This window comes from Homo sapiens, chromosome 15 (assembly GCF_000001405.40).
Source record: "Homo sapiens chromosome 15, GRCh38.p14 Primary Assembly".
In the NCBI taxonomy this organism is placed as follows: domain Eukaryota; kingdom Metazoa; phylum Chordata; class Mammalia; order Primates; family Hominidae; genus Homo; species Homo sapiens.
The window spans coordinates 79898842-79926346 of NC_000015.10; the positions used below are offsets into that span (position 1 = coordinate 79898842).

The 27505-nt window shown below is 42.2% G+C and overlaps 1 protein-coding gene and 2 long non-coding RNA genes across 4 annotated transcripts in view, besides 8 other annotated features; 1 reads left to right on the forward strand and 2 right to left on the reverse strand.

Moving 5' to 3' along the window:
- ST20-MTHFS (ST20-MTHFS readthrough) overlaps positions 1-24251 on the reverse strand; it is a 79546-nt gene extending 55295 nt beyond the window's left edge. Inside the window, exons 1-2 of the mRNA NM_001199760.2 lie at positions 24198-24251; positions 8788-8843 (exon numbers count right to left, since the gene is read on the reverse strand). Coding sequence (NP_001186689.1) covers positions 8788-8832 — 45 coding nt within the window. The 5' untranslated portion in view covers positions 8833-8843; positions 24198-24251. The remainder of the gene's footprint in view (positions 1-8787; positions 8844-24197) is intronic.
- On the reverse strand, positions 1-24911 carry ST20 (suppressor of tumorigenicity 20). 2 transcript variants are annotated; one of them, NR_037652.2, is made up of 3 exons: positions 24611-24911; positions 8788-8843; positions 1-284 (listed from the first exon to the last, which is right to left on the reverse strand). It is a non-coding gene; the product is annotated as a suppressor of tumorigenicity 20 (long non-coding RNA). The 2 variants fall into 2 exon arrangements; NR_037653.2 differs by having other exon boundaries at positions 8788-8865.
- Positions 3367-3416: a silencer, noted in NCBI's record as "silent region_6725". NCBI's record gives its function as "represses an Ori minimal core promoter by ATAC-STARR-seq in GM12878 lymphoblastoid cells {active_cell/tissue: GM12878}" and the evidence as "EXISTENCE:reporter gene assay evidence [ECO:0000049][PMID:35858748]".
- ST20-AS1 (ST20 antisense RNA 1) lies at positions 23930-26013 on the forward strand. Its single transcript, NR_028330.1, has one exon. It is a non-coding gene; the product is annotated as an ST20 antisense RNA 1 (long non-coding RNA).
- Positions 24069-24178: a silencer, noted in NCBI's record as "silent region_6726". NCBI's record gives its function as "represses an Ori minimal core promoter by ATAC-STARR-seq in GM12878 lymphoblastoid cells {active_cell/tissue: GM12878}" and the evidence as "EXISTENCE:reporter gene assay evidence [ECO:0000049][PMID:35858748]".
- Positions 24199-24268: a silencer, noted in NCBI's record as "silent region_6727". NCBI's record gives its function as "represses an Ori minimal core promoter by ATAC-STARR-seq in GM12878 lymphoblastoid cells {active_cell/tissue: GM12878}" and the evidence as "EXISTENCE:reporter gene assay evidence [ECO:0000049][PMID:35858748]".
- Positions 24279-24328: a silencer, noted in NCBI's record as "silent region_6728". NCBI's record gives its function as "represses an Ori minimal core promoter by ATAC-STARR-seq in GM12878 lymphoblastoid cells {active_cell/tissue: GM12878}" and the evidence as "EXISTENCE:reporter gene assay evidence [ECO:0000049][PMID:35858748]".
- Positions 24629-24808: an enhancer, noted in NCBI's record as "active region_9935". NCBI's record gives its function as "activates an Ori minimal core promoter by ATAC-STARR-seq in GM12878 lymphoblastoid cells {active_cell/tissue: GM12878}" and the evidence as "EXISTENCE:reporter gene assay evidence [ECO:0000049][PMID:35858748]".
- Positions 24949-25098: a silencer, noted in NCBI's record as "silent region_6729". NCBI's record gives its function as "represses an Ori minimal core promoter by ATAC-STARR-seq in GM12878 lymphoblastoid cells {active_cell/tissue: GM12878}" and the evidence as "EXISTENCE:reporter gene assay evidence [ECO:0000049][PMID:35858748]".
- Positions 25239-25288: an enhancer, noted in NCBI's record as "active region_9936". NCBI's record gives its function as "activates an Ori minimal core promoter by ATAC-STARR-seq in GM12878 lymphoblastoid cells {active_cell/tissue: GM12878}" and the evidence as "EXISTENCE:reporter gene assay evidence [ECO:0000049][PMID:35858748]".
- Positions 25490-26150: an enhancer, noted in NCBI's record as "H3K27ac hESC enhancer chr15:80216673-80217333 (GRCh37/hg19 assembly coordinates)". NCBI's record gives its function as "activates a minimal SCP1, AML or CMV promoter by ChIP-STARR-seq in primed H9 embryonic stem cells {active_cell/tissue: H9 hESC(primed)}" and the evidence as "EXISTENCE:reporter gene assay evidence [ECO:0000049][PMID:30033119]".

The window sequence follows — 27505 nt, forward strand, 5'->3', positions numbered from 1 at the left end:
TAGAGAAAAATACATACAATTTATTCATTAAATAGGGACAAAATTTCTGTAACTCTGGAAGGTCAAGTTACATCATCAAAGTTGTTTATTTAAAAGTAGAAGTATGTGTTGGCAATCGTTTTCGTAAGAGTCAGAAAAATTAGGCCGGTTTCACAATATGGAGTGTCCTTTCTGGTCAACAGTATTGCTTCAGGACAGAAGAGCATTTCACAGATCTTTCCTGTAACTTCTAGAAAAGTCATCCAGCCAGATTTAGGCTCAAGCTTCTTTACAAAGCCATTTTCCTATGAGAGAATAAATTTAACATTTTAAAAATCATTGGAGATTAAGTATGCTGGAATAAAAAGCAAAAATATTTTCATTTAAATAATGCAAATAATCTTCTATCCCTCTAAAGGAGCATTGTGTAACAGAAACACAGTGTGGCCTACATCTGTAATTTTAATTTTTGGTAGCCACATTTTAAAAAGTACAAAAATAGGAAAAATTAATTTTTAAGATATATTTAGTGATAATGATTTCTGTATGTAATCAATGTCAAATCACTAATGAGATAGTTTTTTTCATAACAAACCTTCAAAATCTCATGAGTATTTAGTACTTACAGCGTATCTTAATTCAGACTAGCCACATTTTACTACCATAGTGAACAGCAAGCACAGCTCTAGAGGATAAAAAGTCTTTTTGTTCTTGTTCTTGTTTAATTGTCCAACATTGATTTCAATGCACTTATATTTGTAATATGAATTCTATTATACTGTAAACTGCATTGTATTGAAACTCATGAGAACTCACAGTAAATCCAAATTAAACCAATACCTTTGAAGCTATGAAAAGGTTGATGGTTTCTTTTATAATCTACTCTCTTTGTGATCGGACATAGTTTTAAAAATGTAGGATAACCCAATTAACTGGACATTTTATTTAATTTACAATCTATAATCATAGAATCCTCACTGAAAAGTCCCTCTGAGATCATCTAGCCTAATGCTCTCTCTTAACAAATGAGGAAAGTGAGGCCCACAAAAAAAATCAGTTATCTAAGATTAGCCAAACCCTTGGTGCCTGGACCTGGATTAGAATGCAAATACCCTACTTCTTTCCACTCCATACATTTCCAAACAAGTGCCAAAATATTCGAAAATTGTTAAAATAATTTTTTCGAATGTTCATCTAGCAAACATTTGTGGCTGCATCTTACAGGTTCCAGAACCTGGGGTTACAAATGCCTGCAAGTAGCTCAGAGCAAAGTGTAACTAATATTGAAACGTAAACCAAGCATAACCCTTTGATAGTTGGGAGAGATTCGAGAGCTCTGCGGTGCCTTGGAATCATTTTATGAACATCACTGGCAAAGCAGATGAATACCACCAGCCAGGGGGATTTCATTTGAAAGACTTAGAAAGCCATTTTCTGCCTACGTAAGTGTGCGTCGTGCTCTGAGACATGCTGTCATGCCTTGACAGAGGAAGGAAACTGCCCCTCTTCTTCCTCTTTCCCTTCTGCCAGTACATACTCATAGATTACACTCTAGGGAGGTATCCACTTCATTACGCCCCTTCCTAAACACCATATTTCGCAAGTATGATGAGACCCTCTGAAATGACTTTTATTATAACGATAATCATTGTCTATTATCATTGATCAGTTAACATGTCATATACATCAACGTCTAAAGAAAGGACAGTGAACAAAGAAAATATTGATAAATTCAGCCAGATGAAGATTAAAAATTTTTTTAACTATGAAAAACTAAAAAGAACAATAAACTAGGAAAATATTTACATATACCATGAAAGTGTTCATTCAAATGTGAGAGAAAATTCTCAGGCCCTTAATAGTTTAAAAAGGAGAGACCATTAAACAGAGAAATATAAATCATTCACAAGTATATGAGAAAAACATTAATAGCAGTTAAAGAAATGTACATTTTAACAAAGTCTTATTTTTTTTAGACCTATTAAAGTGGCTTTATTTGATGCCTATTAAACCCTCAAAATTATTAATAGTACCACCCACACTGATAAGGTTGCTATGATATTGTTCTATTGATATAATACTTTCGAAAAGAAAATATGTTTTCCAGTATGCTAGAATATCGTAATTATACACACATCTTATGAACCAGTTACTCCACTGTTAGAAATTTATCATGAGGCAGTCTTCTAAAATATTGGAAGGTAGGGGGCACCAGAAAAGCATACCTATGCTTCACTACTGAACCATTATATCTAAAAGGGGAAAACCAGGCTGGGCGAAGTGGCTCAGAACTATAAACCCAGCACTTTGGGAGGCTGAGGTGGGGAGATCACTTGAGGTCAGGAGTTCGAGACCAGCCTGGCCAATGTGGTGAAACTCTGTCTCTACTAAAAATTCAAAAATTAGCTGGGTGTGGTGGTACATGCCTGTAATCCCAGCTACTGAGGAGGCTGAGGCAGGAGAATTGCTTGAACCTGGGAGGTGAAGGTTGCAGTGAGCCAAGATCAAGCCACTGCACTACAGCCTGGATGACAGAGTGAGACTCTGTCTCAAAAAATAAATAAATAAATAAAAGGGGGAAAATCAAAACCAAATTGTCTAACAATTGGGAATTGGTTAAGTAAATTATGATATGGCAAATTAATGAACTATTCTGTAGACATTAGAAATTAATGCCTAATGTTAACATGGAGTATGTGAGACAGTGTTGAAAATATTTGTATGTCACACCAAAAAACTCTTATGTACACCCTAATTATAATTGCATACAATGTCTGCATGTGGATATGTTAGGGTGATGGGAGTGACTTTTCTTCCTTTCAAAAATGTTATTTTCAAATATATTTTCTTTAATGATGCTATTTGTATCTTAAGACCATTATATAAAAATAAATATACAAATAAGGATTCAATATCCTATCAGTAATGCAGTAGTAAATAAGAATTGTTCAGGCCTTATTATTTCTGGGAACAGTGATAGTTTGTTAAATTCAGCTACCTTGGTTTCAACAAAACCTAAAGCATAAAATAATATACAGTATCAGTAATCTAAAGAAAATCAGAACCTCAGAATTTTTAAAGATACAGGCAGCCAGGCACAGTGGCTCATGCCTGTAATCCTAGCACTTTGGGAGGCTGGGTTGGTAGAATTGTTTGAGCCTGGTAAGTCAAGGCTGCAGTGGGCCATGATCACACCACTGTACTCCAGCCTGGGTGGCAGTGCAAGACTTTGTATGGGGAAAAAAAAAAAAGATACAGGCAAGTATCATGCTTTCTCACTTCTCTAAAGACTATTCCTTTGTTCACTCAGGAAATATTCACTGAGCATTGGCCACATGCCAGTATCAGTTAAAGTACTGGAAACACAGTGGTGAACAAAGCATACAGGATCCGTGTCCTCACTAAGCTCACATTCTCATGGCAGACACAGACAATAAACAGATAAGCAAATAAATATGCAATGGGATGTCCAGTCATGAAAACTATTATGAAGGCAATAAAGTTGGGCAGGGAGACAGAGAGTGATAGTGGTACTTTCTTAGATGGGTTGATCAAGGAAGACTTCTCTGAGGAGAAGAATTCCTTGGAAGGGATACCTGGGCGAAAAGAAGAGGGAAGGCAGGCGAACTTATGGCGGAAAATTATTCCAGGCAGAGGCAACAGCAACTGCAAAGACTGGAGGATGGAGTGTGCTTAGTTTATCTAAGGAGGCTGGAGCTATGAGAACAGGAAGGGATTCGTAGAAAATGAGATTTGAGAGGCAGGTAGAGGCCAGGTCATAAAGGGCTTTGGGTAACTTCATACTCAGGATGTTGTGCTTTTGTTCCCAGGGTGAAGGGGCATTTTGGAGAGTTCTGATTAGGCCAAGATCAGATCTAATTCAAGTCTGTAACATATCACTGTGGGTACTATGTGGAAAACAAATTATAGCAGATAAAGGATGGAACCATGGAGTCTGGCAGGAGGCTACTGACAGAGTCAAGTGATTACAGCATTTCAAAGGGGCAGCCAAGGGGATTTGCTGATGGATGGATGTGGGCTATGAGAGACAGGAGTCCAGGCTGACTCCCAAGGTTAGAGAACTAGCACTTAAGAGAGCTTGACTGAGGGGCCCCTCGGGAGAGGTGCTTTTCTCTAACTCCTGTGTCACTATCATGCATTTCTGCCTGTCTTGAGGGTCTTTTATTTTTCACTAAATGACTTTAAAATCTCAAGTAAAAATTCAAAAGAAATAGAAAAATTTTGCCCCAAAACGTATTTAATAAAAGGATATATATGAATACTTGAGATCATAGCACCTCACTGCTAGATGTTTATATGTTTTGGAAACGCCTTTGCCAAACTGAATGCTTAGTCAATCATCTATATGTCTCTGTGTGCCCATTTATTTGGCCTCAAATTAACCAGACTATTATTTAGGGTAAGGGGATGACAAAGAAAAGAAAGACCTCTTGGCCTAACTCTATGACCCAAGCTTTAAAATGGTGGTTACTTGGAAAGCACCAACTCTGACTGTACGTCCTACTTTCAGAAGGGCAAAGAATTACCTATCTAAACTTCCTGGAATTTCCCACATGACTCTCATAGTTGCACAGTATTTGACAGTTTGCAAAGCACTTTTAAAAAAAAGTTTTATAATCCTTTAACTTTCCATTAAAGGTAGGTATTATTGTTTTCATTAAATATTATATATAATAATGTCATCATTTTCATTAAATATTATATAAAATAATCATGTCATATCATTTTCATTAAATATTATATATAATAAATTATCATGTCATATATTATTATATACATTATATAAGGAATCTGAGTCTCAGAGTACCTCAGTAACTTACCCAAGGTTATACCTCTAGTGAGTAAGAAAACCAGAGTTCAAATCTCCAGTTTCAGTGTGGCTTCACTAAATCATTCCCTCAGCAAATATTTGTTACCTTCTATGCAACAGGTCCTAGGCATGAGGTACACAGTGATGCATTAAATAGATATGATTTCTCCCATGTGGAGCTGAGTGCCAAGCATTCTTTCTACTCCCCCAGCATATGCAGAGGAGAATGCTTCATTGAAGGGGGAGGAAGTAAGAAGATCCACCTGGTTCAAAAGGAAGGGTGATCCCAAGAGAAGAGACACGAGTTTCATCTCATGATCATACTAATGGTTTTTAAGAACCATCCTTTCCTTATGAATGCTGGAGGCAGCCAAATGGCACTAGCTCTCCTGTCAGATCTTGTGAGAGCACATCCTCTCAGCACTTCAAATTAGGAGAGCGGACAGGAGGAAACCATGGTAAATGTGGAAGAGGACAAAAAGAGAGATGAGAAGCCACAAACAAAAGAAGGCAGGAAGGCAGGTAGGCAGGAAAGACAAGCTGATAAAAAGGAGAAAGAGAATAAGGAAAGAGATTATAAGTCCCATTACTGATAGACCAGTCTCGTTTCTTCCCATTAGGGGATCTGCTTTACATGGTAACTAGTATCTAACTGTATTTGATCATATAATTTATGGAAACTAAATATAGTCAGATTCTCTCAATGGAAGCTAGGTAATACTACTATTACTAACAACAAAAACCCTAAACTTGTACTGAGTACTCATTTTCAGGAATTGTTCCAAGTGCTTTGTTTACATTAACTGATTTAATCCTTATACAAGTCCCAGGAGATAGGTTGCAATATTTTCCTGTTTTTACAGATGAGGAACCAAGGCTTAGGGAAGTTAAGAAACTTGTATAAGTCCGAGGTCTGGAGATTGAGACCATCCTGGCTAACACAGTGAAACCCCATCTCTACTAAAAATAAAAAAAAATTAAAAAATAAAATAAAAATTAGCCGAGCACGGTGGCAGGCGCCTGTAGTCCCAGCTACTTGGAAGGCTGAGGCAGAACAGCATGAACCCAGGAGGCGGAGCTTGCAGTGAGCAGAGATCGCACCACTGCACTCCAGCCTGGGCAACAGAGTGAGACTCCATCTCAAAAAAAAAAGAAAGAAAGAAACTTGTATAAGTCACACAGGTAGTAAGCACTTGAGCCCAGAAATGAAGCCAGGTCTGTCTGCTTCCAAGTTGGTGCTCCAAATAGCTATGCTATACTCACATACTGCATTCTTAATACAAAGTTTCCATAAAGTCTCTGGGCACTTTTAAAATTTAATTAAATTACAGATTGTGGCCAGGCGCGGTGGCTCACACCTGTAATCCTAGCACTTTGGGAGGCTGAGGCAGGCAGATCACGAGGTCAGGAGATCGAGACCATCCTGGCTAACACGGTGAAACCCCGTCTCTACTAAAAATCCAAAAAATTAGCCGGGCGTGGTGGTGGGCGCCTGTAGTCCCAGCTACTCGGGAGGCTGAGGCAGAAGAATGGCAGGAACCTGGGAGGCGGAGCTTGCAGTGAGCCGAGATCACGCCACTGCACTCCAGCCTGGGCGACAGAGCGAGACTCCGTCTCAAAAAAAAAAAAAAAAAAAATTATAGATTGTATGTTTTATGATCAGTGATTTCTTGAGAGTTTTTTCAGGCAAGTTAAAGCCAGTGCTCACATCTTGATAAAGTTGTGAGTGCCTCCTCTACTCTTACCTCTTCTTGCGGGCCACTGACTACTAGCATAAGGAAGTGATTGTGCCATTTCCCCTGAAATGAATCATTCAAGAGTAAATTCATTCATTTGAGCAGATTTGTCAACATCACTATGAAAAGAAGGTAACAGTTTTCCATGTCAGTTTGTACTAACCCAAAAAAGCACTGCCTTTCCTTTCCTTAAGATCAATGTCTCATCTGAGCTGGAAAAGGAGCACATAGATTGCTTTGAAATGACATCTTCAAGAGTATTTATTTCATGTCTACAACCTGAACTATTCAGGTGTTTTTTGTTTTTTGTTTTTTTAAAGAGCTTGGAAACTTTAGAAAGGCTGAGTGTGTGCACATGCAGGCAATGTGTGTATTTGTATCTACACTCGGGAGAGATTCATGCAACTGCACTCATGTTTACATGAGTGTACCACCCTCGAAAGATGAGGGTACTACTAGAAATTCTCACAGACAAGATTCCACAGCCTTTGCTAACAATGAGTTCCAGAAGCTCACAAAATTTATTGTGGAGAAGTTAAATTTTTAAGTAATATTTATTCACTGTCTGTGTGTTCCAAGTACTAAGCTAGGCATTGGAAATACAATCCAAAACCACATAGAGCCGGCAAACTAGTAGAGTATTTCTCTGCAGGCTCATCTGTGGTCCTCTGTGCCAGACAACGTTTGCCTTCACCTGAAATCTACACAGTGCAGCTGAAATTTCCACCAGTCCTCAAGTATAGCCTCCCACAGCCAACTAGAAGAAAACATGACAAAACATTTCACATGCTTCGCCCAGCCTCAGTCAGGCTCAGTTAGAAAGAACTAAGTTCCAGAAAGAAGATGACTAAGAAAGGGGAGTAGCTTCAGTAAGCTCTATCATGCAGGAAGGCCTTAAACAAAATGAAAAAGGCATCAAGTAAAAGATCAATAAATTTGATCGCAACAAATATTTAAACGGCTATAATGACCGAAGACATTGTCAGCTTTAAAGAATAATCAGCAGGCCGGGCGCGATGGCTCACGCCTGTAATCCCAGCACTTTGGGAGGCCAAGGCGGGTGGATCACAAGGTCAGGAGATTGAGACCATCCTGGCTAACACGGTAAAACCCCGTCTCTACTAAAAATACAAAAAATTAACCAGGCGTGGTGGCGGGCACCTGTAGTCCCAGCTACTCGGGAGGCAGAGGCAGGAGAATGGTGTGAACCCAGGAGGCGGAGCTTGCAGTGAGCTGAGATCGCACCACTGCACTCCAGCCTGGGAGACAGAGTGAGACTCCGTCTCAAAAAAATAATAATAATCTTAATAATCAGCAAACTAAAGATAACTGCCACATATATAAAAATAATTTGTATCCAGAATATTCAAAGAATTCCTACAAATCAATAACAGACCAAATAATAGGAAAATGGGCAAAGGATATAAACAGGCAATTCCCTGCATAAGATTTACAAATGATCAGTTAATATATGAAAAGATGCTCAAATGGAAAAATATTTAACCTTACTGGGAATCAAGGAAACAAGAATTAAAACAAGATAAACTCTGCAGTTTTTTAGCCCAACAAATTAAGGAAAGTATAACAGATTGCTACAAACTAACATTAGTCAGCTGGGGTAGGGAGACATGGATACTCTAACAAGCTGCTGATGGGAGTGTAACTTGGTGGAGCCACTTTGGAAGGCAAGGACCTAGTAAATGAAAAAATGTACGTACACCATGACCCAGCATCTACAACCCAACATCCACCCTAGAAAACTACACACATGCATGAGGAAAAATGACATTCAATAAAGCACTGTGTGTGATAACAAACCTGAAATAACCTAAACAGCTATCAGCCACAAATGGCCAGATACTCTACAGCATTTACATACATTAGAATATACATAGCACTTTTAATAATACTATTTTAAATACCTTTGGATAAAAAAAGTTGCAGAATTACCACCATGTACTGTTTTTACATATACACATGTAAATATATGTATGCAAGATTTTTATGTATATATAAAATACATAAACATACATGTACATATATGTACATATATGTATGCTCATATAAAACATTTTACATAAAACATTTACAAAAACTTTTTTTACAAAGAAGTATTATGTTAGCCTGGCCAACATGGTGAAACCCCATCTTTACTAAAAATAAGCACCAAAAAAATTAGCCAGGCGTGGTGGCAGCCACCTGTATTCCCAGCTACTCCAGACTCTGAGGCAGGAGACTCACCTGAACCTGGGAGACAGAGGTTGCAGTGAGCCGAGATCGCGCCATTGCACTCCAGCCTGGGCGACAGAATGAAACTCTCTTAAAAATAAATAAATAAATAAGAAAGAAATAACTTATATTACCAAAGCCTTAAAACCTACATTCTTTTACAGGTTCATTTTTGCTACTAAAAACTAGTGCAACAGGAGTCACATGCAATGTGCTTTGGCTAGAACAGTGTATTGTGGTAACACAAACCATTTACATTAAGACACTACTTAATTCTGCTATTTACTGCCCAAATTGTCTTTTTCAAATATCATGTCAAAATTACACGAATTTATATAGTTGTAGACATGTTCCTAGCAGAAGGGTAAGGGAGGCAGGGGTCTGGGTAAGTGGAAGGAGAAGGCAAGTAGCCCTTTTGGGCTACCAGGGCACCAGGACCGGGTTCCCTGGGCAATTTGGCACAGGGATTTGAATGCAGGGTGGCCTCAAAGATGGGACTGAGCAGCAGCAGCAACATCAGCGATCCAGAAAGTTCACAGGATGTGAGCAATACTGTTTTGGGTTCCTTATCTGATATTCCTAAAAAACAAAGTTGCTGTCGTTTTTCATGAAAACAGACTACATAGTTTATTTAGGTAGATACGATAAACATTTTAATAGTTACACTTGCGCAATTTCATTTTCTAAATGTAAAGTTAGGCCGGGCGCAGTGGCTCACGCCTGTAATCCCAGCACTTTAGGAGGCCAAGGCGGATGGATCACCTCAGGTCAGGAGTTACAGACCAGCCTGGCCAACATGGTGAAACCCCGTCTCTAGTAAAAGTACAAAAATTAGCCGGATGTGGTGGCAGGCGCCTGTAATCCCAGCTACTCGGGAGGCTTAGGCAGCAGAATCACTTGAACCTGGGAGATGGAGGTTGCAGTGAGCCGAGATCAGGCCACTGCACTCCAGTCTGAGCGACAGAGCAAGACTCCATCTCTAAATAAATAAATAAATGAAAAGTTAAAAACAAGAATAAGAGGCATTCTAAACCACTTTTGGTCGTGGGTGCTATCAAATTCAAGAAATTTTTTTGTCCAATTAAATTGTTAAATTTAAAACAAACAAGTATAATAGATCATAAGATCATATCAGCTGTCTTGGGTTCCAATTCTATCAAAAATGCATTATCTAAACTTATTGAAACCAAAATTTCTCCATCTGTGATGTATAATCTTACTAGCACTAAGTAACAAGGAAAACATCAATGGCTTTTAATGTATCAGGTTATATTATGATCCCTACATGACCACGCGGTAATGAAACTGACAAATTTTATCAGTAGGATTTTTTAAATTATAAAAGCAATTCATATTCATGAGAGAAAACTTGGAAATCACAAAAAGTACAAAGCACTTTAAAACAAAGTGCTTCTGTAATCCTACAAAACAGAGCCATGCCAGTACTTTGGTTAATTCTAAAACTGACTTTTAAAATCAGACACTAGATCTAGACAGTATTTTCTTTTTTAATTCATCATGGGAAAGGAGATTCAATACTGCCATTATTCAGAATCTGTGTGAAATTCCTCATCTGTAACTGGCATAACGGTCATGTAAGAAATTTGGTCTCAGTTTACAGTTTCACCTCATTTTAACCTAACATCACTGATAGATTGATTTCATTTAAATTAGTATAACTGAAGTCTTACTATACTGTGGTTCTGTTCAGAAACATAAACATGAATATGGTACTGTCCTCCTGCTTAGATTGCTCACAATCTAGACTACACAGACCAAAGTACAAGGTGGTTGTGTTAAATATACTCTAAGAAAGGATATATAAACAGTGATAGTGTGTCCGGAGTTGGTTCCTTCCACCGGGTTCTTGGTCTCGCTGACCAACAATGAAGCTTTGGACCTTTGCGGTAAATGTTACAGCTCTTAAAGGTGGCACAGACCCAAAAAGTTAGCAGCAGCAAGATTTATTGTGAAGAGCAAAAGAACAAGGGTTCCACAGCTGTGGGAGGAGACCCGAACCAATTGCCTCTGATGGTTGGGGTGGCCAGCTTTTATTCCCTTGTCCCCGCCCACATCCTGCTGATTGGTCCATTTTACAGAGTGCTGATTGGTGCGTTTTTACAGAGTGCTGATTGGTGCATTTACAATCCTTTAGCTAGACACAGAGCATTGATTGGTGCATTTACAATCCTCTAGCTAGACAGAAAAGTTCTCCAAGTCCCCACTTGAGGCAGGAAGTCCAGCTGGCTTCACCTCTCAATAGGTTAACATTAAAGAGGAAGTAAACCAAGTTAAAAGTTCAGAACTTCACTCAATAGGTTAACATTAAAGAGGAAGTAAACCAAGTTAAAAGTTCAGAACTTCACTCAATAGGTTAACATTAAAGAGGAAGTAAACCAAGTTAAAAGTTCAGAACTTCACAAAGGAAAGAAAATCTGCATCGTGCTTGAAGAATAAGGAAAATTTTGGTAAGAGGAAGAGAAAAAAGGGATGAACATCAAATGCCAAAGGACATAAATGTTCATAAAGGTTCTGGGAAAAGCAAGTAAATCTAGGAAAAAGGCAAATTGGCATTGGACTGCTGAGGACTTCTAAGTATCTTGCTAATCCATTTTTATTCACCAGGCATGATAAGGACTTCTAATGGTTTTCAAAATTCAAACCTACCCTCAAGAAGAAAACAACTGGCCATTACTGAGGATATTCAGAGAAATGTGCCACAGACTTAAAAATAAAAAATCCATGATGCTTCCATTGCTAAAGATCTCTCCCACACTTAAGCTTAGCACTTTCTCTTGAAGCTATCTTATGCTCCCACACAGACCACAACAGAATTAAAAGAACACTTAGAATTCAGATAACTCAACTTTTTTATTTCTTTGTAACATCCCCTGCCACAGGAACATTTGGCAGTCTTCTGAAGATTATTTCCAACAATTTTTTCCAGCAGTCCATATCATCCAAAAACAGCTCTATTAGAAAATCCTTCCTTCTACTAAATCAAAATTTTCCTGCCTCTAATTTACACCTATTAGTGTAATGATGAGGAGTTATATAAGTAATAATCCTTATTATAGTCCTTCAAATATTCAAAAAGTTCTCTTCCCAAGCTAAATAGGCTAAATAAAACAAGGTCAAACGTTCTTCATTAGACATGACTTTTAGGTTTGGTGTGAATCTCAACTTCACTTTATTAGCTATGTGACTTTGGGCTTAGCTTCTTTTACTCTAAAATGGGGATAACATGACACATTCTACCACATGGATGTACTGTGAAGACATAATGCTAAATAAGCCAGACACAAAAAAAAACAAATATTGTATGATTCTATTTATATGAGGTACCTAGAGTGGTCAAAATCATAGACACAGAAAGTAGAATGGTAGTTGTCAAGGGCTGGGGGTCATGGGAACAGGCAATTGTTCTTTAATGGGTATACAGTTTCAATCGAGGAAGATGAAAGTTCTAGAGATGGATGGTGGTGATGACTGCACAACAATGTGAATGTACTTAATGCCACTGAACTGTACACTTAAAAATGATTATCATGGTAAATTTTGTTATGTACATTTTACAATAAAAAAAGAATAGTAAGTATGACAAAATTGTACACTTTAAATGATTTAACATGTGTAAAGGAGCTGGGCATAATGGCTCACGCCTGTAATCCCAACACTTTGGGAGGTTGAAGCAGGTGAATCACTTGAGCCCAGGAGTTCAAGACCAGCCTGGGCAACATAGTGAGACCTTGTCTCTACAAAACATAAAAAATAAATTAGCCAGGCGTGGTGTAACACACCTGTGGTCCTAGCTACTCAAGAGGCTGAGGTAACACAATCACTCAAGCCTGGGAGGTCAAAGCTGCAGTGAGCTGTGGATTCCACCACTGCACTCCAGCCTGGGTAACAGAGCGAGTCTCTACCTCAATTAAACAAAAAAAAAAGTGTGGCCGGGTGCGATGGCTCACGCCTGTAATCCTAGCACTTTGGGAGGCTGAGGTTGGTGGGTTGACTGAGCTCAGGAGTTCGACACCAGCCTGGGCAACACAGTGAAACCCCATCTCTACTAAAATACTAAAAATTAGCCAGGCGTGGCGGCGTGTGCCTGTAATCCCAGCTACTCAGGAGGCTGAGGCAGGAGAATCGCTTGAACTTGGGAGGTGGAGGCTGCAGTGAGCTGAGATCACACCACTGCACTCCAGCCTGGGCGACAGAGCAAGACTGTGTCTCGAAAAAAATAAATAAAATGCCTTACACCAAGTGTCCCCAACCCCCAGGCCATGGACCAGTACCAGTCAGCGGCCTGTTAGGAACCAGGCCACATAGCAGGGTGAGTAGCTAGGCAAGTAAGCAAAGCTTCATCTGTATTTACAGCGAGTCCCTATTGCTTGCATTACTGCCTGAGTTCCACCTCTTCAGGTCAGCGGTGGCATTAGATTCTCATAGCAACATGAGCCCTATTGTGAACTGTGCACACAAGGGATCTAGGTTGGGCACTCCTTATTGGAATCTAATGCCTGATGATCTGTTACAATCTCCCATCAACCCCAGAAGGGACCATCTAGTTGCAGGAAAACAAGTTCAGGGCCCTCGCTGATTCTACATTGTGCTGAGTTGTATAATGATTTCATTATATATTACACTGTAATAATAACAGAAATAAAGTGCACAATAAATATAATGCATTTGAATCATCCCGAAATCAACCCCCATCTGCCACCCCCAGTCCGTGGAAAAATTGTCTTCCACAAAACCAATCCCTGATGCCAAAAAGGTTGAAGACCGCTGCTTACACAACACTTGGCATATAAAACATGGGCACATAATAGTGACTGTAATAGACTTACCAACTATGGGGCCTTGCTTGGCTAAATTCTATTTTTTAAGAAAGTAAGAACCTGGGGCCAGGCGTGGTGGCTCACGCCTGTAATCCCAGCACTTTGGGCGGCCGAGACGGGTGGATCACGAGGTCAAGAGATCGAGCCCATCCTGGCCAACATGGTGAAACCCCATCTCTACTAAAAATACAAAAAATTAGCCGGGTGTGGTGGCGGGCGCCTGTAGCCCCAGCTACTCGGGAGGCTGAGGCAGGAGAATGGTGTGAACCCGGGAGGCAGAGCTTACAGTGAGCCGAGATCGCGCCACTGCACTCTAGCCTGGGTGACACAGCAAGACTCTGTCTCGAAAAAAAAAGAAAAAGAACTTGCATTATCATGTCTCTCAGTATTCCCAACACTGTGCTGCACACAGGTACTCCAAGAATTTGTTCCATTAAAGAAAAAATATTAAAGCCATTTTAGAATGACTGGAAAACCACTGCAAACAAGGGAATAGAGGGCCAGACATGGTGGATCATGCCTATAATCCTAACACTTTGGGAGGCTAAGGTGAGCAGACTGCTTGAGCCTAGGTGTTTGAGACCAGCCTGGGCAACATAGCAAGACCCTGTCTTAAAAAAAAAAACCAGCTGATTAGTCTAACACACACACACAAAGAAACCACATTACTTTAAAGTAACATCTCCTTGGTACAGAAGAGTCTAGAAAACATAAAACTTCCCAAGATGTTAGTATGTTAATCAGTGAATGACTGCCAAACTACTCAGATAAATGGTGATAAGTACACAAATTGCTTTATTAACTTAGGCTTATCAGATTAAATTACAGGCAAATTTTACCAATGGCCCTCTACAAAAAGCATACATGAACAAAGAAGTCATGTAATAAATAAACTCTCAGCAGTGAAGAGCCACAAGTGACAAAAAAGACTAAAAACCACAGAGCTACCTGTCTCTGAATTGGGACATTTATCAACAAAGGTTATTCTTGAGAAGTCAGTATGAGTTTAAAGCATCTTCATAAACGTATCCAGTGAGCCAAGATGTAGCTTGACATGGGTTTAGGCATATCACTCCCAATGATGGAAAGGAACAGAAATTTTATCACTAATATTATGGTGAACATTGGTAGGATCAAAAGTCTGGATAAAAGGAAATATGAGAATTTCTCATGAGAAAAATAAGCAGTGTCTAGAAAGTCCAGACCAAACTGATTCCTTGCAAAATTCAAAATTAGATTAAAAAGAATGTTTGGAAGTTAAGAAAGGAAAAGTGAATACATGGAATCCTAGCTAGAAGATTCACCGTGAACAAGTTCAACCGAATCAACTGCAATGGTTATTTTCAAAGGTTAGTAATGTAGTATTCTTCGCTGTAGGTGAGAATCTTATAGGCACAGTATAGCTTAATTATAGTACGGCATTTGACAAAATCTTTCCTAATATCCACATAAAATGTCATATGGGCCTGACAATAATAGACAGAACTAGTTGTTACTGAACAACCATAATGTGTGCTGATTAATGGACTGGTGTTAATCTAAAGTGAGTCTAGCTGACTTGCACACTTCTGAGTAATTTATTCTGTCAATATTTTTATCAACAATTTGAATGAAGACATAGTAGGTATGCCTACCAAATATAAAGATGACCAAATAGAAAGTGTATTAAATGTCTAAATAAAAACTAACAAAAGGAAATTTAAAAGCCTTATATTTAAGCACACCTAAAAAAATAAAAAATAAAAATAAAAGCCTTATATTTAAGCTAAAAAAAAAAAAAATCCACTACACAAAAACAGGATTAGGGAGACTCAGTTTAACATCTTATGTATAAAACATTTTAGAGAGAAGTTGACACTTCTGGTTCATATTAAGCATAAGTAACAGAAGTTAAAACTGTTAATGAAATATTTGGTTTAAAAAAAAAACAAACCAGCATTTGGCTCATACCCACCACACTCTGTCTGGTCAAATATCATCTAAAATGCTGGGCACAATGTATAATGACAATGAGCAATTAAGGGTTAATTAAGAAAAAATAACCACGGTTGAAGGATCAGAGAATTACATTATCTAAGGAATGGTTAAACTAACTGGGATTATTGACTCTGAAGAAGAGAAGGGAATGCTCACCATGTGTGGCAGGGAGAAAGGGTCAGCACGGACACGACGGTAGTCTTCAAATATGTGAAGGGGCCATTCGTGTGAAAACGGGGTTATACTTGGAAAAAGCAAAATACAGTGAGAACAGCATGGGCTATGATGTATAAAGACCCAGATTCAAATCCTGGTGCCATGATTTACTGTGTGTTATTTGGCTTGGAGACAGATTAGCATCCTTACCTAGAAAATGATACTTACCTCATAAATGTATAAAAATTAGAGGCAAAAAATATTTATAAGCTGCCTGGCACAGACTGACACACTGTGATGCACAGTGGTGTTAGTTCTCATCCCTAGACCTTTCTGTAATTCTAGAACAGTGTTTTCAAAGTGAGAACTGAAACTCATTAATGGGTCACAAAATCAGCTTAGCTGGATAGTAACCAGTATTTTTCTTCTGATGAAACAGAAGGAAAATATTAGAGCACACCATTTGTGGCAAACATAATCATAATTTTGTGAAACTTCTGTTTCAGTTATTCATATACATGTGAATAGATTATGAGTTAAAATGTATTTCTTATCATGAAGTTGGATCCAAGAAAAAAATGTGAAAGTGACTACTGTAGAGCACTATTTTCTATGTGTGTTCTATAAGATACTAGTTCCTTGGGAGCTCGATTAGATTTAGGAACAAACCATACTCCCTAGAGATTTACTATGTTCAGTACACATTAGCATCTCCAAGAGCCCAGCATTAAAGAAACCTGTTTATCTTTCTTGAATCCAGTTTTTTCCCACATTTATTCAACTCCAGAACCCACCCACTTTTTTTTCCTACATGGTATTTATTGACATCTTCAGAACTACCACTTTGCAGCATATACACTCTGGAGGAAACATTCCTCTAGATGAAAAAGAAGATGCAATGGCTAGAAGTTATAGAAGGTAGATTCTTAGCTTGCTAAGAAGAAAAACATCTCAACTTTGAATCTTCCTGCCACTGACATCCACCCCCTATAACTTTTACCCTACACACATGCCTCATGCATTTTACATATGATTTATCCAACTTTCAATTCACACAAATGTTCTCAGAAAAAGTGTAGGACATCTATAATATCTAGATATGAAGCCAGGATCAAAGCAATAAGCAGGAATCATCTGGTCAAAAGAAACTCCTGGCATAGTATTTAGGAAGACTTGACAAAGCTTAACAAAGCTCATGCTCAGGAACCACAGCAGCCCAAGACTTAATCGGCTTTTCCAAGTGGACTCAATGTGTTCTAATACATAATTTAAAGTGGGCTTGTTATAAGTAAAGTGTTTATTTAGAAACAGAATGCTTGCTCCTCAGTACTGCAAGGAAAAATCAGCATTTAGACAAAAAGTGTTTTCAGCAAGGCAATTTTACTTTCTGCAGAAAGGGTGCTCCTCACAGGTGAAACAATGGCAACAGCACACCCAAACAAAGGAGGGAAGCAATTTTTATCCCTTATGCAGCTTGTCCCTGCTACTGTGTCCTGTCTCCATTGGCTGGAGCTGGACCTCACAATTTAAATTAAACCTGACTGGCTAACAACTTAAAACTTTCCTAAATAGGGAAAGGCAACAGAGAACAAAGGAAATGAGGAAGTTGCTTGCAAAAGGACTTAGAAAAGTAATAATATTTCCAAATAAGGAAGGGGCATAGGCTGCGAGCTGGAACGTGCCTGTGAGCATGTCCAGCACAAATATCTTGGTTAAAGTACAAGGACATAGAATATACTTATTCCCTTATATCTAACAGCTACATAGGATAGGGCTTAATGAAGAGTTATTAGCACAGAGCAGAGGAGGCTGGAAGGAAGTTAGTCTTTAAAAGAAACTATTATTTCTAACACTTAATGATTTATTCTTTAACAAGAAGGGAAATTTTTAAGAGGAAACTTTTTACTTTCTACAATTCCCTCCTCTTGATTTTGTATTTTTCTTTAAACCTTTTTTTTGTTTAAACGTGTTTTGGCTTAATTGTTTTGCTTGAGTTTTTAAAAGAAAAGGTTTTTATGGCTGATGAAATGTGAGGGCAACAGGGATAGCCAATCGAACTAGAGAGCAAGTACTGCTTTAATTATTTGGCAGAGTGCCCAGCAAAGGTCCTTTATAATACCACCATACATCTGCTTGGGGATGAATAAGGGTGGACTGATGGGTCAGCTTTTGGAAGTGCCTGACCTTACTGCATCCTGTTAAGTCTCCAAGGAATGCCAAATTTTCCCCTTGTCATTGGAGACACGAGATAAAATTGGTCTTGGAAGATGGAGGCTGAATGGCCCTTGGGGTACTGCACTTTAGGAAACAGCAGAGAGAGTTTGGCACAGTTTACTATCCTAGGCTGTAGGATTTTGAAAAAGAGCTACCATGCAGTCCATGTCCTGTTAATTAGAGGACCATCTGAGTGGAAAGGAGACAACCTGAGCCTCTGGCCTACTGTGTGCACAAGCATAATAATGGCTTTTATTTAGAGTGCAGAGGGAAAATTTAACCCATTTTAGCTAGGCATCTACATCCTGATACCCTGTCTTAATTGCTATGGTTTGCCTTAGATTTTTTACTTCTACTACAGAGACTTTGGTTTTGACACTATGTTTGGGAGGAGTGATTGATGGAGAGGTTGAAGGAGCAATAAAGCTTATTTTAAAAATTCCTTTAGGATCCTTTTCTGAAATGTCAGTTCCCATATTATGACTTAATGAAGGGGAGGAGTTTTCAGATGTTGCAATAGTAATAGTAAGCTGTATAGGATTACACTGGTTATGTTGACAGCTAGAAAGAACAACTCTTTTGGTGAAATGGATATATGGTTTTAAGGACAAAGACCTCTGGAAGCAGTCCACCTTAGACTTCTAGTGTTCTATAGGATATTAGACCAAGCAGAATATAGAGATTTTGTTTTAGAGGGACAAAAGTCCAATTCCTACCAATTAATATAGCTACTATTCTCTGGATTATTAGTATCCTTATAGGAACTTATTATGTCTTTCTAAACTAAGGAAGTCCAAGAGGGACAGAGATATTTTTCTGAAGTAGTAAGCTGTGTTTGGTTATTTAAATCTTCACAAGGTGTAACTAAACAGGCATCAAAAGTAATAAGTTCAGGTGAGTTAGATCTAGTTACATTAATAATAAGATGGGGAATAGTTAAAGGGAAGAAAAAGAAAAAGATAAAGTTTTCTTAGCCTTAATTTGGTAGGGCTTGACCTTGGAACAATGTCCCATGATTGTGAAGGTGATGACACTTTCTTGACTCGGGTATGATGTGTCCATCCTTTTTCTGCTGTGCGAAAGGCAGTCTCGGTGGTTAGCAGCACAAGGTAGGGTCCTTCCCAGGCTGGCTCCAGTTTTTCTTCTTTCTATCCTTTGATGAGGACGTGGTCCCCAGGCTGGTGCTAGTGTACTGGAAATTCTAGGGGTGGTACCTGTGCTAAAAGACTTTTAGTTCTGAGGGAAGGGAAAGTGGAAGTATATAATTTCTGAGAAACTGATCTTTTGTTTTAGATGTGGGGGCATCAGCAGTGGAATGTAAGTAAGGTAACCCATAGGTATCTTTTTGACTTTATAGTCCGTAGTGCCTTTTTGCTAAGAAATTTCTTTTTCCTTGTTTTTACTTATGCTGTCTCTGAGGGACCCTTTGGGGCTCCTTATTTTGTCAGAACTCTGCATATCCTGGGGCTTGAGGCCCCATGGTGACGCCTCCCGCTCCACCCCGGCTCAGTGCTGCCTAGGGGACGCTGCAGCCCCACCACCTCTTAAGGTCTTGGCCTCCTTCTGGCCCTCACCACTCCCACGCATTGAGGCCTTAGGGATGAGGGGCCTTGTGATTCACCCGGCTGCCCCTGGACCTTGCTCCTCCCTGAGACCCCGCCATCTGGCCCCTGGCCTTGGGCTGGGCTGTCTGTCTAATGGTTGCCCAGCCCCCTCCCCCACACAGGAAGTGTCTGTCTGTGGTTAGGTCCTCCAGCCGGCTCGCACTGCAGCCTCTATAGGAGTGGCTGGAGGTGAAAACTCGTTGGCATTAAGCCTGAGCTTAGAGGGCCCCGGCCTGGGTTCTTTGATGCAGTTGGAACAAGATTTTTTTTTTTTAATAAGGTGTTTGGATAATATTTCTTTTTGGTTTAGCAATATTCATTTTCCTTTTGAATTTTTTTAGCACCTATTTTTTAATCTTTTAATGTAGGTAAAAATCTATATTCTTATGCCTCCTTATAATTCTTTTACTAAAAGTATATTTTACTTTCTTTACATACTTTGCACATAAACTGTTTAATAGTTTTATATTCAGGATGGCTAAAAACTTTTAAATTATACAATATTTCTTGCATAAATTCCCTTTTATAACATTTTTTTCGACTTTCACAATCTTTAACATGCCTCAACTTTTTGACTACCTTTTACACTATTTCTCTCCCGTTTTACCTTCTGTGACTTTCTTTGATCTCTGTCTCTTTCAGTCTTTCACTTATTCTCTCCCTCTCATTTGGGCTCTTTTTCTGTCATCCCGTTTCCTCTTTCTCTTACACTTAGTCTTCTGGGCTGGGTGGGATCTGCATGGCCACAGTCCGGGCCACCGCCGCCGGCCTAGCGGCTAGGCAGATAGACGCCTGCCCCAAGTTGCATGAGTCATGCCCCTTCGCCTCCTTTGCTCTCCTCCCGGCACCGGTCCCTGCCCTCTTCCACACAGAGCCAGGCTGGGGAGAGGGACCCACCCTCTGGCGCGCCTGGCTGCCTGGCTGCGTGGCACAGGCTCCTGGCTCCGGTGCGCTCATTGTCTCCCACTCGGCTCCAACTTGCAGGTGTCCGTGGCCAGCTAGCCTCTGAGGGTGGCAGGATGCACCCGAGCAGCACGGAAGGTGCGGGGCTCGGGGGCCAGCAGCCTGGGTGGCTCTGGCTGGCTCTGGCTGGCTCGGCCGGGAGTGAGGAGAGTGTCTCAGCCACTGCCGCTCTGCCAGGTGCCAGCAATCCACAACAATGTGGAGCCACGTTCGCTGCTCTTGCTTTCTCTGACTTCCTTTCCTAGTTTCTCTTTCTTCTCTGCTGCTCTTTCCCTTGCCTCTTTCTTCCCCCAAGAATAGGGGAAAGGGAAGTTTTGAACATTTTTCCTATGACCGGAAGTTTCTGTGAGGTTCAATCTCCCCCTAATGGGGATTTTTCACCTCTTTTTAACCTCCAAGACACCTCGACTAAGGAATACTTCACCACCCCCGCCCCCCCTCCCCGCGGCTTTTCTTTCCTTAGTCCTAAGGAATGCTTTACCTTGGTATGTCCCAACCAAAGAATGCTTCACTGCCCTGTGGCTTCTTTTTCCTTAGTCCTGACCACCAAGGAAGTATTTTACTGTCTCCCCTGGCATTTCCTTTCTTGGTCTGTGCAGAGTTGCCTGGTCCAGGTGGTATGTGAGGATCTTTTACTCCAGGTCACCAGCCGGTTTCTTTCCACATTGCTGAGAGTCCAGTTTATTTGTCATAACTGGTGGGTCTCGATTCCTTACCCTGAGGCCGCTACAACAAGGCAGTGGGGCGCCTTCCTCATGAGAGAGGACCAGAGACCCACCCCCCCACCCCCGGAGGAGAATGGCTCCCTGTACAGGCCACCGCCATTGTTACAAGTAAAATGTTTATTTAGAAACAGAATGCTTGCTCCTAGGTACTGCAAGGAAAAACCAGCATTTAGACAAAAAGTTTTTTCAGCAAGGCAATTTTACTTTCTGCAGAAAGGGTGCTCCTCACAGATGAAACAATGGTGACAGCACACCCGAACAAAGGAGGGAAGCAGTTTTTATCCCTTATGCAGCTTGTGTCCTGTCTCCATTGGCTGGAGCTGGACCTCACAATTTAAATTAAACCCGACTGGCTAATAACTTAAAACTTTCCTATATAGGGAAAGGCAATAGAGAACAAAGGAAAAGAAGAAGTTGCTTGCAAAAAGACTTAGAAAAGTAATAATATTTCCAAATAAGGAAGGGGCATAGGCTGCAAGCTGGAACGTGCCTGTGAGCATGTCCAGCACAAATATCTTGGTTAAAGTACAAGGACATAGAATATACTTATTCCCTTATATCTAACAGCTACATAGGATAGGGCTTAATGAAGAGTCATTAGCACAGAGCAGAGGAGGCTTGAAGGAAGTTAGTCTTTAAAAGAAACTATTATTTCTAACACTTATGATTTATTCTTTAACAAGAAAGGAAATTTCGAAAAGGAAACTTTTTACTTTCTACAGGCTGATGAGTGCAGCTAATCCTCATTATTATAAGCATCACTATTATCATCACTTGCAAGAGCCATGTGACAATATTTAGATGATTCTGGGTTCTTTTAAAGTGCATACATACTCAGGATTCCTTTGGGAGGATGCAATTTCATTTATATGAAAAACTGTCACTACCACAGTCAGCTCTAATAATATTTGATATCACCTGGTAATAAAGGTTTGTCGGCTGGGTGCGGTGGCTCACGCAGCACTTTGGGAGGCCAAGGCGGGCAGATCACGAGGTCTGGAGTTCGAGACCAGCCTGGCCAGTATGGTGAAACTCCATCTCTACTAAAAACACAAAAATTAGCTGGGCATGGGGGTGGGCACCTGCAGTCCCAGCTACTTGGGAGGCTGGGGCAGAAGAATTGCTTGAACCTGGGAGGCGGAGGTTGCAGTGAGCTGAGATCATGCCACTGCACTCCAGCCAGGGCAACAGAGCGAGACTCCGTCTCAAAAAAAAAAAAAAATAGTAAATAAAAAATAAAGGTTTGTCACCATATACTCAAGAGTACTTCTGTTATTCAAATCTCCTAACTGGGAGTTACAAATATCTCTGACTCTGCTCTTGTAGCTGTCAGAGCATAAAATGCCCTTCCCACTCTTTCCTCACTTCCAGACTCCAAAGCCTCCTCCTCAAAGTTTGGCCCCTCTACTTTGGACTACTGTTTTCTTCCCAGTTACTGCGCACTGACAGTACTTTTGTTCTCTCTTTCGGCAATTCACCATACACTTTCTAGTTTATTTATCTGCATAAAACTTAGTTCTCAACAAGACTATAACTGCCTTATGAACAGGAATCAACAGTTGAGAATCTTCAGAGTCTCCTATAACATCATGTAAGAGCTCACTAAATGTTTGATTTAAATAACTAGGCTTAAGAGTAATAGGCTGGGCATGGTGGCTCATGCCTGTAATCCCAGCTCTTTGGAAGGCCGAGGCGGGAGGATCACGAGGTCAGATCGAGGCCATCCTGGCTAACACGGTGAAACCCGTCTCTTCTAAAAATACGAAAACAAAAAATTAGCAGGGAGTGGTGGCCAGTGCCTGTAGTCCCAACTACTCGGGAGGCTGAGGCAGGAGAACGGTGTGAACCCAGGAGGCGGAGCTTGCAGTAAGCCAAGATCTCAACAGTGCTAAATGCATACATGGATTATCTTACTAAATTTTCATAACTCTATAGAGGTAAGTGCTATCATTATTTTCTCCATCATAGAGGAAGAAAGTGAAGCTCAGAATAACTTGCTCAAGGTCATACAGGCCTGGGCAAACCCAGGGCCTGAATCCAGCAAAGCTCTTAACTACCTCAGAACACTGCACAGTTCGAGCCCTGCAATACTACAGTCTATGAATGATTTCGATTTCACTAAGTTAGAAATTTGAATTTCAACAGAGACATTTTAGCTAAAAGGTAAAATTTTAAAGAGGATGAATTAAGAGAATTTCCCACAGACATCTTTATAATAAAATGAGGAGAAAAGCCTCCCATTTCCTATTTATGAAAGTGATATTAAGGTGTGTGTCACAATTTCATCAAGAAGTGGCTTATGACAATACAGCTTTGGTTTAGGTATTAAAATAGGACTCTTTTCTGCCCATAGGAGGACATGGAAATGAAGGATAGATGTGATAAATGTCAATTCAGAGCTCTGCAAAATGCCAGACTCAATTCTTGTTTTAAAATATCAGAGCCAGGGCTCTTGTTTCACCCTTGATTCTTCACACAAAACACCACCATCCTCTGACCTCTTCACACAGAGCAAGCTTTACCCCACTACCTAAAGGGGAGTGCTGATCCACATGGTCTCCCCATCCACGCTAGAAATTGATCCCAAACACCAACCGCTGCATAGACGTCGGCGACTTTGGTCTGCACCCCCCGAACTTGGTGATACCTCATCAAGCCAAACCCCTCCCCAACATCCAAAATGCCCAGACCAGCATCCGAAAGCTGGTCTCCTATACAAAGCAGAATCCCTGCCTACAAAGCAGTTTCCCACCTCCGACTCCTCCCCACGGCGAACAGCCCTTCTGGATCCAACCAACCCACCAACCCCAATAGGGCCCAGCACCCAGAGGGTCCACAATCCAGAGAAGGAGCTACAAGCCCTGTACTTGCAAGCCTCGAACCCCCAACTCCAACTGACCTCCCCTCTGCCAGAGCAAGACCACGAGTACCCGCCGAGAGCGGACCTGGCTGGCTACACAAAGCCAGGCGCCCGACCAGAGGGATCCTCCGGGACGTCCTCCGCCACCGGGGCGTCCCCGCCCAGCCCCGCCCGGCGCCCGGCGCTCACCAGCTCTCCTCCCCCTCCTCCTAGCCTGACAGACGCTCCAGGTCGTCTAGCAAGCCGCCCTCCCCCGCCGCCAGCAAGAAGGTGGCGTCTCGCAGCTCCTCGTTATTCGTCCGCCTCGGGTCCATCCGGCCCCGCCGCCCGACTTTGCGCTGAGACCCAAGGGGAAGCCCCGAGGGGACCCCGCGCCGTAGGAGGGAGTGGAGGAGCCGGCGAACCGCGATGGAGCCGGGGCCCAGCACAGCGCGAGCGGCTCCTCGGCTGTTCGTGCTGCTTCCCCAGCTTCTTCACCGGCACCTGCAGCTTCCGCACCTCCTGGTCCGCGTTCACGTTAGAGTTAACGTCCTCCATCCCGGCCCCGCTGCCTCCGCCGCCCGCGGCCCTCTCGCTCTCGCAGCAACAAGGGAAGAGCCGGAGGAAAGAGGCGTCCACGCCGCTCACTCCAGCCGAGGCCCCCGCATATAGCAGGGCCAGGCCCCGTCGCCAGGGTTCCCCCAGCGCGGGTCCCGAAGCACCGCTGGCCACAGATGAACCGCCTCCTCAGCGCAGGTCCGGGATTCGGGGAGGCAGCGCCAATATCCGGTCTCTGCAGCCATCTTCCCTCCGTCCCTCCGCCCACCGAGGGTCGGCCCTGTAGGTGACCTCAGAGCGTCGGGGATGGGCGTGGCCCCGTCGGGCGCTAAGAAGACCTAGCGCAGAGAGGACCGCCGAGCTCCCGACGGGGCGGGGCCAGGTGTGTGAGGGGCGGGGATTGGACCCGGAGGGGCGTGTCTGGACTGCCGGCGGAAGTGGAACGCGGCCTGACCTGCGACGGAAAGCCACTGCAAGCCCGGAGGCGAACAGAAGGCATTCCGCGAGCCGGGCTGAGTTGGTGAACACGGTCCTCGTTCACCCCGCCTATTGGTCTGGGCGTGTGGGGTATTCTCCACCCACTTATACGGCGTGTGGGACCGACGGGCCCGTCCTGCCCGGCTCCGGTCCGGATCTCGAGTAGGCGCTCAATGGGATTCGGGGAGACGTAGTTTACTTTGTTCAGCAAATATTTAACCGATGCCTATTTTAATGGGAGATTGTTTCCGCTGGCGGGAGCCTCAGAGACCGCCTGTGTCCTTTAAGAAACCCGAATTTCAGACAGTTAAGAGAGGTCTAAGGTCAAAATAATAATCATAATTTCTTCTTACTGGCCAGATACTATGCTAAGCCCTTTTTAATTTTATTATTATTATATTTTGTCACCGAGGCTGGAGTGCAATGGCCCGATCTTGGCTCTGCAACCTCCGCCTCCCGGTTTAAAGCGATTCTCCTGCCTCAGCCTCCCGAGTAACTGGGATTACAGGCGGGCGCCACCACGCCTCGCTGATTTTTGTATTTTAGTAGAGACGGGGTTTCGCCATTTTGGCCAGGCTGGTCTCGACCCTGACCTCAGGGTGATCCGCTCACCTCAGCCACTCAAAAGTGCTGGGATTACTGGCGTCAGCCACCGCGCGCCCGGTCGTGCTAATCACTTTGAAAGGCATTATCTCATCGGTTAAAACATAGTTTTCCGGACTTAAAAGTTTACAGCACACTGGCGCAGAAGATGGAAAACCGCTGCTTGCCTTTCTCCGTTTATTGACTCACATTCTGCTCTTTGGATCATTTTCTTCGGAAAAAGTTTTCCAAAGTGTGTCTTGTGTATTAAAAGTTGTGTATTAAAAGTATTTGAACACGCTGACAGATACTGAAGAATGCAGAAAATTGTATGAGTGTGAAAATCTGCCTTTACGATGTGTACTAGTGGCAGCAAATCCAAACAAAATTTAAGTGCTTTGTTTTGATCACATTCATTGGGCTTCAGATGTCAATTGTGCGCTGCTTTGGCTTGTGTTTGCAGCCACAAACACAAGTGGAGTTATTAACGCCACTCACTAAACACAAGTGGAAGTTATTAAGAGTGGAGGTTCCCTCCTCCACTCTTAATAACAGTGATCCAGTTCGTGTTTTTTTTTTTTTTTTTTTTAGACGGAGTCTCGCTCTTTCGCCCAGGCTGGAGTGCAGTGGCATGATCTCGGCTCACTGCAAGCTCCGCCTCCCGAGGTCACGCCATTCTCCTGCCTCAGCCTCCTGCCTAGCTGGGACAACAGGCGCCCGCCACCGCGCCCGGCTAATTTTTTGTATTTAGTAGAGACGGGGTTTCACCGTGTTAGCCAGGATGGTCTAGATCTCCTGACTTCGTGATCCGCCCGCTTCGGCCTCCCAAAGTGCTGGGATTACAGGGGTGAGCCACCGCGCCTGGCCAGTGATCCAGTTCTATTACACCTGGGTGTGGACTCATGCCACGACTGATTTGCTTCTACCCTTTAGCTTTTCTAGTGCCTTAGTTTCCTTGCCTAGAATATCCTGCCTGCCATAGCTGATTCGTTTTCTTAAAACCCGTACTCGCTCATTCATTCAGGAAACCTCTTCCTGAAAATTCCACAAAAATCTAATTATTCTTTGTATTCTAGCATTACCCGAGCCATAGTTTTCAATAGGTGTTTGCACTTTTTAAAAAATTGCATTATTTTCTAAAAATTATTTTGTTTGTTTTTGTCTGTTTACTTGATTTAAAGACACCATTTTTGTTTACCATGTCTAGTACACTGACACAGTGGATACTCAATACTTGGTTTGTTGAAAGTTAAGTAGAATGTAAGTTCTTACAGGCCAAAGACCAGGTAGATGTTTATTCATAGCAAAAAAAGTATTGTGTTAAAAGTTTGCTGGCTAACTGTAAGTCGAGTATTTTCCTAACTATACAGACCTAGTCAAAGTGAGAGGTGACAGCGTGCTGGCAGTCCTCACAGCCCTCGCTCGCTCTGGGCGCCTCCTCTGCCTGGGCTCCCACTTTGGCCAGCTTGAGGAGCCCTTCAGCCTACCGCTGCACTGTGGGAGCCCCTTTCTGGGCTGGCCAAGGCCAGAGCCGGCTCCCTCAGCTTGCGGGGAGGTGTGGAGGGGGAGGCGTGAGCAGGAACCAGGGCTGCGCGCAGTGCTTGCGGGCCAGCGCGAGTTCCGGGTGGGTGTGGGCTCGGCGGGCCCCGCACTCGGAGCGCACGGCCAGCCCTGCCGGCCGGGCAATGAGGGGCTTAGCACCCAGGCCAGCGGCTGCAGAGGGTGTGCTGAGTCCCCCAGTAGTGCCGGCCCACCGGCGCTGCGCTCCATTTCTTGCCGGGCCTTAGGTGCCTCCCC